At 36.9% G+C, this 16369-nt stretch overlaps 1 protein-coding gene across 4 annotated transcripts in view; it reads right to left on the bottom strand.

Moving 5' to 3' along the window:
• Positions 1 to 16369, bottom strand: part of PLCL1 (phospholipase C like 1 (inactive)) — a 345271-nt gene that overhangs the window by 46113 nt on the left and 282789 nt on the right. For all 4 annotated transcript variants that reach the window (NM_006226.4, XM_005246643.5, XM_017004339.3 and 1 more), the window contains exons 3-4: positions 14690 to 14893; positions 2391 to 2466 (exon numbers count right to left, since the gene is read on the bottom strand). In NM_006226.4, coding sequence (NP_006217.3) covers positions 2391 to 2466; positions 14690 to 14893 — 280 coding nt within the window. The remainder of the gene's footprint in view (positions 1 to 2390; positions 2467 to 14689; positions 14894 to 16369) is intronic.

Below are 16369 nucleotides of genomic sequence, written 5' to 3'. Positions count from 1 at the left end.
GTAAAATATAATTTCACATTCCTGTCTTCTCATAATTTCCAAATCCCTAAATTGAATTATCCTTTTCATTCTGTTCATCCCACCAAGTAGCTGTCCTTATGCACAAATTGACAACAGTCAATGCATTAGGCTAAATTGTATTTAAAACAGCCAGGAGCCATAGAAAATGACATGAGAAGGAAAAAAGTAAATTCTATGGGTACAAAAAAATAGGAAGAATGAATAAGACCTAGTAATTGATAACACAACAAGATGACTATAATCAATAATAAGTTAATTGTACATTTAAAAGTAACTAAAACAGTATAATTGGATTGTTTGTAACACAAAAGAGAAATGCTTGAGGGGATGGATACCCCATTTTTCATGATATAATTGTTACACATTACATGCTTGTATCAGAACATCTCATGTACCCCAAAAATATATACACCTCCTATGTACCCACAAAAATTAAAAATTAAAAAAAATTTTAATAAGTAAATAAGTAAGAAGCAAATTATTCCAACAGGTTACATGGACCTTGTTTGTCCTCTTCCTGGTTTATGCATGAAATGGTCTGATGTGTCAATGGCAACCATATGTGAGGAATGCATATGTCTTATTTTTCTTTATGAACCATCCCTGTCGCTTAATAGTAGGTCCTGGAACCCACATAGATAACAATGAGTAATCAGTAATGTTGGCTAAAAATAAAAAGGCTTTTTTAAAAATAGCATTTTGGGAAACACCCAAGTATTTCAGATTTGGGAATGACCTTAAAGTATTTTTAGCTCAACCATCTGCTCGAGCTTGAAGATTATGAAAACCATCACCATCACATTTCTTCAGCCTTTGTCTTAGCACCTTAAAGATGGAAATCATATTCTCTTATGAACAGCTCATTCCATCTTCAGAAAGCTATGACTGACATCAAGCCAAAAATCTCCTTCCTTGGAACTTCTACTCCTTGGTGCTAGCTGGACACAGACCAAAAAGGTCTAAACTCTTTTCTACAGTGCAAGCTTTTAGATATTTGAAGAAAGATATTGGGTAAAATCCCTTCAAGTCTTCTCTCAGTTAACCATTCAAACATATTCAGCTTGCCAATGAAACTCTTCTTTAAAGATGGCATCCAGGCAAGGCCACTGCATTGCCCAGTTTCCTGGAGCTGAGCTCTGTGGGAACTTGCCTCCAGGAGTGAACGCTGTACTCAAAATGGGCTTGGAGAAGCCTACATGAGGTCAGGGATCTACCACCATTCTCCTTGTTCTAGTTTTTATATTTTTATTAATGCAGCCTAAGACCACGTTAACTTTCCTGGTGCTAACATCACAAACATAGCACATAGTAAAGAACATGAGTGTGGAGCCCAGCTCTACCACTTACTAGCTATGTGAGTCTCGGAAAGACCCTGACATCTCTGGTCTTCAGTTTCCTCACGGGTGACATGTGGTTAACAAGTGGGTTTACCTCATGGGACAGAGGTAAAGCTTAAGTCAATCAGTACATATAAAGATCTCAGAGCAGTGCCTGGCATCATGTAAGTATCAGGTATTATTATTTTTGTGCTTCCTGTCAACAGAAATATCTAAGCCTGCTGGTCAGCCAGTGAAAAGCACCATTTTAAAAGTTTGGTCTGGATTCAAAGGGCAGCTCCACCGCGTGTTGATATGGCACCTAGGGTAAGTCACTCAGTCTCTCAGAATCTCAGATGCCTCATCTATAAATCGGATATAATGATGATTACTTTGCAGAGTTGTCATGAGTAAGATAGTGTGTGTGCTTGGTATAGCATATGCAATGTATCAAGCAGTTGCTACTATTGTCATCTTCCTCGTCATAATCATTATCGGGTATGTGGATAGAGAAGGTTGTGGATCCAGGAGATGAAAGCACAAGGGTGTGGATGAAGGTGAACAGAAATAAACAAGTACACTCTCACAGATATGTGACTCATCCCATACTTAAAAAGAAAGAACAAATCTAAATCTAAAGTGAAGACTAGTAATGGGGCAAAAGCCTGGAAGATTAATAGGATTTTGGTTCCAATTGTAAAATTGAAGTGGGTTTTAAGGGACTGTATGGAACCATAGCTTCAATACCAGCAGTAGAAGGTTTTGATGGGGTTCCAAACCACAAAACTAGATTCAGAAACCCTCATCCCTCTAGACTTCTTCAGACACCACCCCAACCCTGTACGCTCACATACAACCCACCTATTATCACTTGGATTTCATCTGTACTAAACAAAGACTAAAGTGTAACTTAAAGTATAGTTAAGCATTGCTATAAAATAACTGCATTTTAAGAGAAGCAGAAAGTTTCTGAAAAAAAAATCTACCAAGAATTATTATAGTTTCCAAACAAAATAGAAAAAAAAAACAGAAAAAAAAATTAAAAACAATTACCTGCTTTCTGACACTGTACAATCTTTTCCTGGACTGTGTCCGCCATTTCTATGAGAAACCGGCTCTCTTGAATCATCTGTTACAAAATAAACATCAAAAAGGTGGTTGTCAGAATCCTTGAACTGGCTCATTGGGAAGACGACATACAGAGAGACCCACATGATACCTCCAGTAAAAGTAAGCCATAGTCTCACCACAACAGATGGGAGGGAGAAGGATAAGCTCTGTTCCAACCCCCATCCATCCTAACACTGAGGCTAGTGTCACCTTCCTTATGATTACTCTCTTGTGTAACATGCTTGGCACACAGTGGGCACCAAATAAGTAGCTGTCAAATAAATGTATATACATTCCTTATGTCCCAGGTCATATTCATAAATACCTAATTCCACTCCCTTAACATCAAAGATTACTGCAATATCAAGGCAAGTGGTATTGGAACATAATAGCAATGAGAACCAGAATAGGGTTTTTTATCCTTCCAGAGGCAGCAAAGTCACCTTTAAAAATATTATCTGCTCCATTTTATCCTCCCTGTCTCTCCCCCACCCCACTCCCACCAAAAAAATGAAGTATCTCCTATCTTCTCCGAATTCTCTCAAGCAGCACTCAAAGGTGGGCTTGAAGTCCCACTCAGCTACCAGTAGGTTCTGGTCCTTCTGATCTCACTCCTTCCTAAGTACCACTTCCAGAATCATCATCCAAAACTACAGTACTAATTCCTGGCTTTGTCATTTTCTCCCTTGCTTACTGAATGAAGTAAAATTTTTCTAACCTAGAACTATGGTGTTCCAGTTCCCCTAAGTCTCAGTTGACATGGATGAATCACGCTTCTCTAAACACACCCTACTTGTTCCTCCTCCCACACATTTCTTTCTATTAGGGAAACTTTCTTAAGCCATCTGCCCTGATCAAAATCCTGCCAGGCCTCAAAGCTCACTTCAGTGCCCTCTCCTCTATTAGTTTCCTGATTTCCCCTTCTGTCTCCTTCTCACTCCCCATATTCCCAAAACATTCTATTTTTTTAAATCTGTTCATGGAATTTTTTTATTTTCTATCTTATGATTTATTCTTTACCTATATTATTTCCATCTTGTTACTTCTCCAGTAAATTGTAATTCCAGTAGAGCAGGGACTCAATCTTATTCAGCTTTGTATTCCCAGATGCATCCATCCATTTACATAATCACTTTTTTCCCCGTTTTGCTTTTGTGATACTTATTTCTTCTCTCTGTCTGCTACCCACATATGTGTGTGCAATAAAACATTTTATTTATTACTGACCACTTCTCAAACTTGTAATTATCTTTTTGAACTCCCATCTCTCTTTTTGTCTCTAGATTTCTCCACTCTTATTTTTCCTAGGCTTCCTCATTTTTCTGTAATTTTGTATGCTCTTAATTCTCTTTCAAATTAAGTACTGAAAAATAAGCATAAAGCTTTTAATAGGATTACCCCTGTAGAAATATAATACTCAAACATCAGAAAGTAAAACAAATGTTAAAACTTTATTACATGCTTATTTGAGGTAAAATAAATTTAGGATCAAAACATACTCCAAAACCTTATAGTTCAAGTTCTTCTCAAAAGCCCCCAAGTAAATATTTGTTAACCCCATGGTATAAGTTGTTTCTGTTTTTCCCATTGTCTAATAAACGTCATAAAGAGATAATCGAGTATAATTTTACCTCAAAACAAGCTTCTGTTTGAGATTCCTCAGAAATAACCAGAAATCTTTTAGTAATAAAAGTCTCAAATTGTGTCCTCACATATCTTATCATTAATATTCTCAGAACATAAAATCATTGCTCATATGAAATTGTTTCATAAGGGGATTTGATTTTTCTCTCTGTCAACAGCTTCTATTGTATTGAGAATTATAAATTTATTCTATTTTCTGCAGTCAGCTTTCAATTATTAGTAGCTATAGAAAAAACAAATGAGATGAATAGCTAAAATGTACCAATAATCCAAACCACAATTTAAGTCAAAAATTTCAAATTTTCCTCTCAACTAAGTAATTTATCTAAGTTGTCAGGGAGAAAAAATGGTCGATTTGAGTTTCACCTCCTTCCAAGATCTCTAAATGATACTGATGGAAATAAAATACAAAGCGCAAAAGCCAAGCAGAGAAGGTGAGAAGATGTCCTCAGATAATCCCTGAGCCGGGAAGTCAGCACGACTCAGCCATGACGGCTGGGTTGATTCAGTCGATAGAATCTGGCAGTGGCCTGATTTACATATCTGATGTCTCAGCCTGAGCTGCTAGTTGCCTTTGCCTGTTGTAGTAATACAAAGAGCTTTTCTCTGGTTCTGTCACATGAATATCTCCTAATGGATCTTATTTCCTTGTCAGGGCTTTGTCTCTAAAAGAATAGAGGACTTGCCCAGATAAAGGTTGACATTACTTTATGCATTAGATGTATCCAGAGCAGGGGTGTGTAAAGTTACCCTTTAAGAGTAAAATTATGTCTTTAAAAAGAAAACTTTACTGAAGGGGGCAGTGATACTGTTACTCAAAGATGGATTAAATTGTCCAGCTTTTGTGAAGAAACTATCCTTCCAGCTCTTACCAGTAAGAAGTTTAACTAATTGCCCAGAATCATTGCAAAGTCAATGTAATTATTTAATAATACTGAAAAGATGCACTTTCGTCATATTAGGACTCAAAAATCTTGCATAGATTCCCATTTTATCCTGAATTAGACCTAAATTCCTAGAACCACAATCTTTCTACTTAGAAGTTATCTTAAAGACAGTCTATCATGGACAACCACATTTTATAGTTGAAAACCCTGAGCTAAAACTTAGCTTGCTTAAAGCCACACAACTAGCTAGTGAAACAATTTAGACTAGAATCTAGGCATTCTTGAGGAGCAGACCATATTAAAGTGTAGAATTCCTATTGCAAGTGCAAGTTGGTAATAAACAATAAAGTAACATTCATCAAATTAAGCATCATGAAAATAAATTTTGCCATGACTGCTTTTCCCTCCAAGTCTAATTCACAACATGCATCAATCATGATAAACATTTTTTCATATGAAACATAGGAAGAAATGTATTTACTTGAGTCCTCTGTTTTTTCAGGAAGGAGTTAGGAACTTTGGAGAAGCTATTGCTTGAGAAAATGTGAGTCAATAAAAAGCTAATCTACTCTAGACTTTTTTTGTCCTCTCCTTTTCAGAACACTGGAATAATTCCTCTAGCTCTTACTTTCCTTCTAAGCAAAAAAACTAGGTTTCGATTCTATGGTTCTGCAGTGGCTCATCTTTTCAGATCATTTAAAACAAGATGACTCTTATTAAACTTGGTACATTTGTAAATCAGATTGCTCTTACATATATATTTGCTAACTAGAATGAAGATTATTTCCTTTCATTCTCAAGTTCCTTAAATATTTAAAATGAAACAAATAAAAGCATTGCTAATAGATTGGCATGTTGTTTTTAAGCAATCAAGCCTGTCAGTGTGGTCAACTCTCGGTCATACAGAAACAAGTGTAAAGTCAGAATATTTGCAAGTTCACTGGAAGTCCACTGCCTTTGGTGTATGCAACAGAGCTCTCTGTCCTGGGACTAATGCATCACATTTGCAAGCCTGATTTGTAATGGCGCAGGACAAGTGAACTTGCACACAGCAAGTCAGAGGACGTTTGTCTCCACATTCACAATGGTGACAAAATCTACTTCAGGGGGCCCTTTTGGCATAAACAGATCATTTTTTTTCTCTTGTTGTTTTGTTCCCCAAACAGTTGTCAGCTATACCTTGAGTAGTCATTAGAAATATTTGTTTTTATCCAGCTGTCATTACGATTTAACTCCTTCATAAAATATCCAGACGAGTAGCCTTAGTAAACCTTCTCCAGAATTTTCAGGCCAATTTGACTACCTTACTACCTTTAACCAAAAGTGTTACAAAGCCTGAGGATTCAAGAATGCAAAGCCAGCTTTGAGTATGCATGGACAAAATTCCACAAAAAAAAGCCAACCTGAAATACTTGCTTATGGATATGTATCTCTGATATCCATGGTCCTAGAGATCCTGGTACCAAGTAGAAATTTTGCCACTCCTCAAGATGCTGATAATTTTCCCCTTACACAGAAAATGTGTCCAAAGACATTGCTGTACCCACATGTGAAGGAAGTTTCCATACCCCAAGAATACAGCATCTTGTTTTTAAACACCGAGCTCTGTTTGGGCACATGCCAGCAGACAGTTCTTTTTTTAGGTTCTATTACTATACAAGCAAAGATACTTCTTGAAATGCAAACTAATAGAGTTCCACACAAACTTCACAATAAGAGACAGTGATGGAATGAGACTATCTTTGACTGAATCCAATTTTAATTTAAATGGATTTCAATAAGCAAAACTAAATCGGGGAACTATAGACATAACTACAACTCTTTCCCATCCTGAGGCTGAATATATACTGGTTATAACACTGATATAACAGAATGTATTTAAGCCAACCATTATGCCTGGCTTAACTGTAATACTTACTAGTGTATTCATTCCATTGCAAGCGTGATTAGACAGCAATTAGCTCTTTTTTGCTAGATTCCTGCTCACTCTAGCACTATCAACTGCTCTCCAAATCACCCCCAACTGACTTAGTAAAAGATTAAATAACCCTTGACTTATGTTCTCTAGATTGTTTTGATTTCCTTTTTTTAACAACAAATTTAAAAAAAATTGTTCTTACCATAGTAAAGTTTTAACTTTTATGTTAATGTTAAATAAGGTAGCACAGAAGTCACCTTGGAGAATGCTTTGGGCTTATTTCTTACAGTTGCAACCTCCTGTAGCTATTCCACTTCAGAATGATATATTTAAGATATTACCCAAATATTTTTCATAACAACTTAAAATAATGGAAATGATCAAATATATTAGGAAAATACTTCTTGACTGCATGAAAAATTAGAAAGGTGAGAACACTGAAAAGGAAAAGCTCGGCCATCTAAAGAAGAAAGTATATAAAGTCAGATAATATTTTTCTTTCAAATGTATTTGGAAATAAAATTCTGCTGAGTACCAGGTGGCAGAGGTGGTAGAAGAAGTGTGTTATAAGTCACTGTGAAAAGTCTATCATAGGACTAAATGATCTAAGACTCCAGCTAAGGACATAAAATACCATGTGGTCAACTCTCTGAACACTGCGTGTGACTACTTCCCTTTTTAGGTGTAAGTCCTCCTTTCCCATCAGGGTTGCCCATTCCTCAAGGACAGAAGTTTTGCTTCATACTATTTCTTTCTCTAGCACCTTGCACACTGCCTTGCACATAGTAGGCATCCAAAATATTCTTGTTTAGTTGAATAATTAAAAGCCTAAAGACATATACAAAATGGCATATCAAATGAGAAAATGTTATTTTACAAGTGGCAAATATATGTGTTCCTACACATTTTCCTATTTCTCTTGAGTTACAGAACTGTCATTCGTTCTATCATGACTATCTGTGCTGATTCCGTCTCTGCTTATTCATCTTTGGTTACACAGAATAAAACGTAGAAATGTGACTAGAGTAAAACATTAGGGCTGGAGCTAAGTCTACATGCATAAAAACACGATTGCAGAATGAAAAAAGTCAAACCAATTCAAACAAACTAGTTTTGATAGTGCCCTACTAAAATTACAAAATGTTTTCCAGTGTAATCCCCTGCTATTACAACTCCATGTTAAATGATGAGTAACATATTCACATCCCCAATAGTAGACTCCTAGGGCTGGGTAGTACCTCACCAGGTTACATCTCCTGCTGGTAAGCTGCTGAAGCACAAGATCTGCTGAACCTTCCACAACATTTAACGCAGTGGCTTGCACATTAAAAGGAGTTCAGAAAATGTTTATCAAATTAAACATCTCCATTTTCTGGCTATAACACTAAGTAACTCTTTCTGTAACCAATTTTTACTCTTAACAACACCCAATTTAAGATGAATCCTAAATGAAAAAAAGTCATATTACTTTTATTTGCAAAATATAATTATATGACATTATCAGCCTTAAAAGACGATGACTCTGTGACTATACTACCTACTTCAGTGGGATATTTTTCCAGAGAAAGTAAAAATCCAGAGTGGGGAAGTGATGCTTGCTCTTTCAGAGACCTGAGCCAAAAAAGAAGAAGAATCGCAGTAAAATAAATGGAAGAGTCACTTAGAAATGGTCTTCTGATTTCAAATTAAGCTCCAGGGACAGTTTCTGGAAAACTTTCCTGATGAGCAGAGGGCCACTGAAATGGCACTGTGGTGAACAATCCAATGCCAACAGCTCTTCTCTTTGTGTATTTAGCCTGCGAAAGAGGCATCCATTCTACCTTCGACTTTTAGAGCCTTTTCTACTTGCCAGAGTTATTGATTGATAGTGCTCCCAGTTCCCTCTAGTGCTGTTTTAGAAGCTGTACACTTCCCACCTCCAGCCGTGACACGTTTTATATCAGCAAAGTCATCTCTGCTTCAGTTGCACAAAATACTAGATAGGCATTTACATGGCAACATCCTATTGAGAGTATTAATGGTAACAGTAAACAGGGCTGCCCGTAAGCAAATTGCAATTCTTTGAGCAACCCCACCTTCACCTTACCCAGACTTGGTGAACCCTCTGTCATTACCATCTCTCGCTTCTCCCAGGTTAAAACCTGCTTGTAGAACAGGATCTGCTAAATTTACTCGAAAGTAAGAATGAATTACTGATAACCCAGTGTGTTATTACTCACAGGGATGTTGCTGCATTTTAAAAAAGATAAAAAGTCTTAACCCTAGGGAACTGGTTGTAATTTTGAAATTTCAAGTCCCAGGAAGCAGACAGAAAACGTATACTTTAAGTAAGATGTGCTAAGACAGGGGAGAGTGTGCCTTCCCTTTCTTCTGAAATTCTGCCACGTCAATAGGCCCATTTTGCTACAAATACATTTGATTTTTGATTTCTTGATACCAACACAGTTGCTATAATGGAATTATAATTGCAAGACTAATTTAAAAGGACTTTTAAGGCTGGGCACGGTGGCTCACACCTGTAATCCCAGCACTTTGGGAGGCCAAGGCGGGCAGATCACGAGGTCAGGAGATCAAGACCATCCTGGCTAACATGGTGAAACCCTGTCTCTACTAAAAATACAAAAAATTAGCTGGGCATGGTGGTGGGTGTTTGTTGTCCCAGCTACTGGGGAGGCGGAGGCAGGAGAATGGCATGAACCCAGGAGGCGGAGCTTGCAGTGAGCTGAGATCGCGCCACTGTACTCCAGTCTGGGCGACAGAGTGAGACTCCGTTTCCAAAACAAAAAGAGAGAGAGAAAAAAAATGACTTTTAAGACTGAATTTTAAAACCCTCAGGAGGAAATATTTTCAAATATTTAATGACTAATAAATAGTGGGATTTATTTATTTATTTATTTATAGTGGGTAATAAATATGGAAAGCTAAATTTAGGGGAAAAAATCTGTGCAGATGAACTCAGGGTCAGTGTTTTCTAGAATATTTTATTTTATTTTCCCTTGATAATAGTATAATTTGATGCACTCAAGTTTGCTTTCAACAAATGTAGGCTACCAAGTTGCCTGATTTCTTTCTTTCCATACTGAAAAAAGAAAACATTTGTATCTGTTCAGGAAAGATTTCAGGTTGTTTTTATTCTAAACATATTCTGCATTTTTTAGTGGTAACAATTTTTCCTCTTGGATGGCATCTACACAGTTCATTACCATTTTCAAGAAATCCAAAAATTTAAGCAACTTAAGTCTAAATTGAACCCAAGCTGTTCATTTTGGAATACCTTCTCCCCACACCAACCACACCACTAGGCAATAAATCTTGGATTTGCTTTTTTCCCTTATTCATCCAAATCAGTTTTTATTAATAGTCTGTGGTAGGTTGGGGGGGTGGTTAGACTGTATTTTTACGAGAAGTTTCAAGTTTGCATAAAAAGTAAATGGAAAGTACAGAGTCCTCACCCTCTAACTCTACCCCCACCTCCCAGTTTTCCCTACTGTTTACATTTTGCATTAGTGTGGTATATTTACTACAATTGACAAGCCACTATTGATACATTCTTATTAGCTAAAGTCCATAGTTGACATTAGGGTTGACTCTTTGTGTTGTACATTCTATAGGTTGTTGACTAGTGTATAATGACATGTATCTGCCATTACAGTTTCATACAGAATAGTTCCACTGCCTTAAAAATCCTTTGTGCTCCACCAGTTCATCCCTCCCTGACCCACTCAAAGGCCCTGGCAAATAATAATCTTTTTACTGTCTCCATAGTTTTGCCTTACTCTGTAAGTTTTTTAGCCAAATATAAGATAGGGAACAATTCAGCAAGGGTGGTGTCAGAGAGGTAAAATCAAGGGGATTTAATAATTTATCATCAAACATGTTCAGTTATAGGATGGAAACTACACGATTTTCACCAACAATAGATGCTTTTATTTATTGTTTTTACTCAGTGAACATTACCTGATAACGTGCTATGTGCCAACATTGTTTTGGGTGCCAGAGGTGACAGTAATAAATATACAGATAGGATCTAACCTCACGGAGTTTACATTCAAATTGAGGAGTAAAAGAGGACAGCAATTAAAAAGTTCAAGCAAAGTATTTTTCAATACTTCTAAGCAGGAAGATGGAAATAAAACATGGCTATGTGACAAAGGAATGTATGGGGAGAGTAGTTAGGGAAGGCTTTTCTGAGAAAATGACATTTGAGCTAAGAATTAAGAGATAAGGAGGAATAAATTATGGTGTTCCATTGCACAGTAGTGACTATAGTTAACAATAATATATTGCATATTTCCAAATAGCTAGAAGAGGTGGTGTCGGTGGTACAGTGGTAAGTACCTTGCAAAATAGCCAGAAGAGAGGATTTTAAATGTTCTCACCACTAAGAAATAAATGTTTGAGGTGATGGATATGCTAATTACTCTAATTTGATCATTACATATTGTATAAATGTACGGAAATATCACACCATACCCCATAAATATGTGCAAAGAAAGCCAGTGTGGCTGGAAGAGAGTGAGCAAAATAGAGGGTGTGAGAATGAGGCTGGAGAAGCAGATGAGACTGGAGAGGCAGGTGAGGTTGGGGAAGGCAGGTGAAGCTGGAGAGGCAGGTAGGCTAGAAAAGGCAGATGAGACTGGAGATGCAGGTGAGACTGGGACAAGCTGGTGAGGTTGGGAGAGGCAAATGGGGCTGGGGAAGCAGGTGAGAGAGGCAAGTGAGGCTGGACTGGCAGGTGAGGTTGGGAGAGGCAGTAAAACTAAAGAGGCAGGTGAGGTTGGGAGAAGCAGGTGAGGCTGGAGATGCAGGTGCAGTTGGGAGCGGCAGGTAAAACTAAAGAGGCAGGGGAGGCTGGAGAGGCAGGTGAGGTTGGGAGAGGCAGTGAGGCTGGAGAGACGGGTGAGGTTGTGAGAGGCGGATGAGGTTGGGAGATGTAGTGAGATTGGGCAAGGATGGAGAGGCAGGTGAGGTAGACAAGCAGGGGCAAATCATAAATGACCTTGTAAAGCCACAGTCAGGAGTTTCCGTTTTATTTTAATGGAACCCATTGGAGGATTTTAAGCAGGAAAGTGACTTGATTTGATCTATGTTTTTATTTTATTTTATTTTATTTTATTTTATTTTATTTTATTTTATTTTATTTTATTTTATTTTATTTTATTTTATTTTTTATTTGAGATTGCATCTTGCTCTGTCACCCAGGCTGGAGTGCGATGGCGCAGTCTCGGCTCACTGCAACCTCCGCCTCCCAGGTTCAAGCGATTCTCCTGCCTCAGCCTCCCAAGTAGCTGGGATTACAGGCGGGTGCCACCATGCCCGGCTAATTTTTGTATTTTTAGTAGAGACGGGGTTTCACTATGTTGGCCAGGCTGGTCTCAAACTCCTGACTTCAGGTGATCCACCCGCCTCGGCCTCCTAAAGTCCTGGGATTGCAAGTGTAATCCAGCCCCTTGATCTATGTTTTTAAATGTTCACTCCAGATCTGAAGAGATCTTAGAAGACCTATTTAAAATTAACACACAGTAATACACTAAGAGCATTAAAGATGCCAACCAATACAATGCAAATCCTAGAAAGTAAAAATGGTGTTTTAATTTCAAGGCCAATATCATCATTACATGTATCTGTCCCTACCCACCCCATCCCCCAAATAAATACTCAACAGAGATGTCAATGGTGTTTTTAATCATTTTTGAATTCTACCAAGTTTACCATGTGGTATAAGGATATTTACACTCAATTCCCTCCCAAAATGGTTTTCCATAGAGAACTGTACATGAAAGACTTCATTATAAGTATTTCTGCTTCCACCGTAGCCTTTTATTTTAATCTTTGAAAACCATGCTCTGCCTGCAATTACAATTTGCATTGTAATAATACAGATGAGAAAAGGCTAATATTTCAGTCTTGGCTTCAGCAGATAAAACAAAAAATAAGACACTGTCAGACACTCGGGGGTGTGAAATGGCAATTGCCCAGCCCCAGACCAGGTATCCTTCTGCTTATTACAGGCCAGCTTCAGGGACCTCCCTGGCCATGAATGATTTCTTTTTCTTAGCTTAAAAGAGAAGTGGAGGAATAAGTGATTTCTACTGTCTGTCTCTATGGCAACTAGTACCCTAATTTCACCTCTTAGATGGCAATTATACCTATTCACTGAATAGCTTTCAGTCCCCATTTTTATGATGAAAAAGTTGATTTCATGAAAAATGAGATACAGGTAATAGGTAAACTTTCCCCCTAGCAACCATGAAGTACATTTTATAACAGGTATGGTCATTCATAAGCAGAACATGCCCTGTGGAAATTTTTCTTTTTCATTCGTAGAATGTTTATCTCCAATATCTTTCTTCTACTTGTTTTTTAATGACAAAATCTTCATCTTTTCTTCCTTAAGGTTTATTTTATGCAATTATAAAATTAGTTGGGTTCATTATAAAGAGTTTGGTGAATATAGAAAAAATACAGAAAAGCATAAATAAGAAAATAAAATTCACTCTTATATAAAAACATTCACTATTAATAACCTGCTAGCAACTTAGGGGCATATTCATAGAAATGTAATTTAAATCCTATCTCCCATTTTATTGTAATCAAATTTTCTACAAAACATTGTAAGGACTTCTCCATACCATTACATATTCTTCTAACACATGATTTTAATATCTTCAAAGGAATCTATAATATAGATTATTATATTTCACTTAGCTAATCTTTCTATGTTGAATTATTAACATAAATGTTTATGCTTCTCTCTACTGGCTTAGAATAAATCCAAGAAAAGGAACTCTATAGATCAAACTCGTAAGCATTTTAAATTGTATTGCCAATTGTTTCTCCAAGAAATACTATATCAATTTATTTTTCCACTAGAAGTAGATGAATGAGAGTATCCATTTGCTTAAATTCTTGATCAGAGGTACTATTTTTAAAGAGAAAAAACATGTCAATTTAATGGTGAGGGGAATATCTTACTATATTTTCTTAATTTCTAATTAAAAACTTATTTTAAAGTTAAATGTTTTTAATTTTTCATTGTTATTGGGTGGGGGGTAAGTGAATTGCCTATTCACCTCTGTAGCAGACTATTGGTTGTCCCTTAATATCCATTCTCCCCTTATTTCCTAGTAACAGAAGAGACAACATTTAGCATATAGCCCCTTGAAATGATATTTTCCATTCTCCTTTGCAACTAAGTGTGGCTATATGTCAACTCCAGGCTGATGAAATAAAAGCAAACATGATCTATTCTATTCCAGAGAAACGTCCTTAAAGGAAGAAGCTATGTCTTACATCTTTTCATCACTCCTGATGGTTGGAATGCAGATATTATGGCTGGAGCTCAGCACCCATTTTGGACCATGAGGATAAGGGGTACATTCTAGGAATTAGCTGAAAAATATAGATTCTATATAAATTTTGTCTCAACCATCATAAGGCAGCACTGAGACATGTTTACTTCCCATAGGTATATAATTAAATGGTTATATTGCACTCTAAAGTCATTTAGATGATGAGTGTACATATTTTTGAGGGTTTTTTAATAATTCATTCCTTGCTAAAGCAGAGTTTTCCACTTATAACCTGTGCAGCTCCAGGTTCAAGTCATTTTCTCAGAGTTTTCCACTGAGACTTAGCAGAAGCTGAATGGGCCGGCTCTGCATGCTACCTCCAATCCATGTTTCAAAGGTAGTCACCCTGTGTTATTCATTGGAGTTCCACAGAGGAGTCCCTGCTATTTGTGATTTCACACACACACACACGTAAAAAAATATGGAGTCGCAATTTCCTACCAGATCATAAGCAGTCAGCATCTTTTTCTGCACATCTGGAATTGCACCCAGAGGCTCCAGGTAAGGAAAGCTGTCTTTCATCACAAGTGAGACTGAAGGAGTATTGTCACTGGTGATGAGCCGAGATGACAGAGTTAACAGGCACTGCTTCAGACTGGCAATTGGAGGGAGTCCACATAGTTCCTTAATAGACACGATTGCATTCTGTGAGGAAGAAAACATGGAATCACACTTCTGACCACCTGACACATCACCGCCAGCACTCCCAGGTTTACAGAAAAGTACATTCATTTTTAAAAGATAATAGAGGGCTAATTCATAACTATACTTCATCTTGCTCAATTTTTAGCAATCACCACAAACAACCCATGAAAGCAAAGCAGAGTGGGACACAAGGCTATGCAGTGCTTTTCAAAGCAGACCACTGGGATAGTCACACAACTAAGTACTGGCTGATCATGAATGTCATGTTTGATTTGTATCATGGTGATCAGGAAAACAGAATGGCAGGGGTTGTACACTGGAGTGCATTTCACTTGGGCTTTTTTCCTCAAGGTAGCAGGATGCTACTGCTCACCACCCTCCATCTGACTAATCAATGGCATTCCTTTGTCACTTCATCAGAAAGGCACCTGACAGACACACACACTGAAAGCACATTTCATGTAGAGCTACATTTGTCCATGTTACAGTCTTTTCAAAAAATTCATTTGAAATAGAAATTATGACTATTTTACATTTCACCCACAGTGAACAGTACCTAACTTATTAGGTGTCTCATGAATTTCATGACAATGATCACCTTCATTTTTCTTCTGATTAGACTCCAAATAATCCTTAACCCCAAAGACTTTATGTTAAGATAATATGAACTATCAACGCTACCTGGATACACTTTATCTATAACACTTCTATGTATTTTAAATACATAATATAAAATATGCAAAGTACATATTTCAAGATTATATAAAATATGTAAAGTCTAATCTATAAAGTTAAGTGCAGAAATGGTTTATAACTAATCTAACATAGGGATTTATAATAGTACTAGAATTATGTCAGAAAAAGTTACATAGAATATGCTGATATTGGGACTCTATTTTTTAAATGGTGGCTAAGACAACCTACCACAAGTATTTAACTGTGCCGTGGGTTTGTGGTTCTGCACATGAATGATAATGGAAATGGATTTTGGTATTAGGCAATCCTGGATTTATTTTCTTTAATTTTTAACTTTTGCAGGTACATAGTAGGTATATATATTTATAAGGTACATGAAAAGTCTTGATACAGGCATGCAATATGAAATAAGCACATCATGAAGAATGGGGTATGCATCACCTCAAGCATTTATCCATTGAGTTGCAAACAATCCAATTAGACTCTTTAAGTTACTCTAAAATGTACAGTTATTATTAACTATAGTCACCCTGTTGTTCTATTAAATACTGGCAGTCCTGGATTTAAAGGCTAACATTGCTATCTGTTAACTTGCAATACTTAGGAAATGCATTAACATTTTCAAATTTATTATCTATCTTGAAAACAGGGATTTTTGGTGAGGATTATTATAAACACATCAGCTAAAGAAATAAAGTGAATTGAATAATATCCACTTTGCACATTGCAGGTACTCGGTGAATATCTGTTATTGTTTGCATCTCAATAACACTAGCCTAA

The sequence above is a fragment of the Homo sapiens genome, chromosome 2, assembly GCF_000001405.40.
Source record: "Homo sapiens chromosome 2, GRCh38.p14 Primary Assembly".
In the NCBI taxonomy this organism is placed as follows: Eukaryota; Metazoa; Chordata; class Mammalia; order Primates; family Hominidae; genus Homo; species Homo sapiens.
The sequence above is the reverse complement of the archived record's forward strand: the minus strand, read 5'-3'. Positions and strand labels throughout refer to the sequence as shown.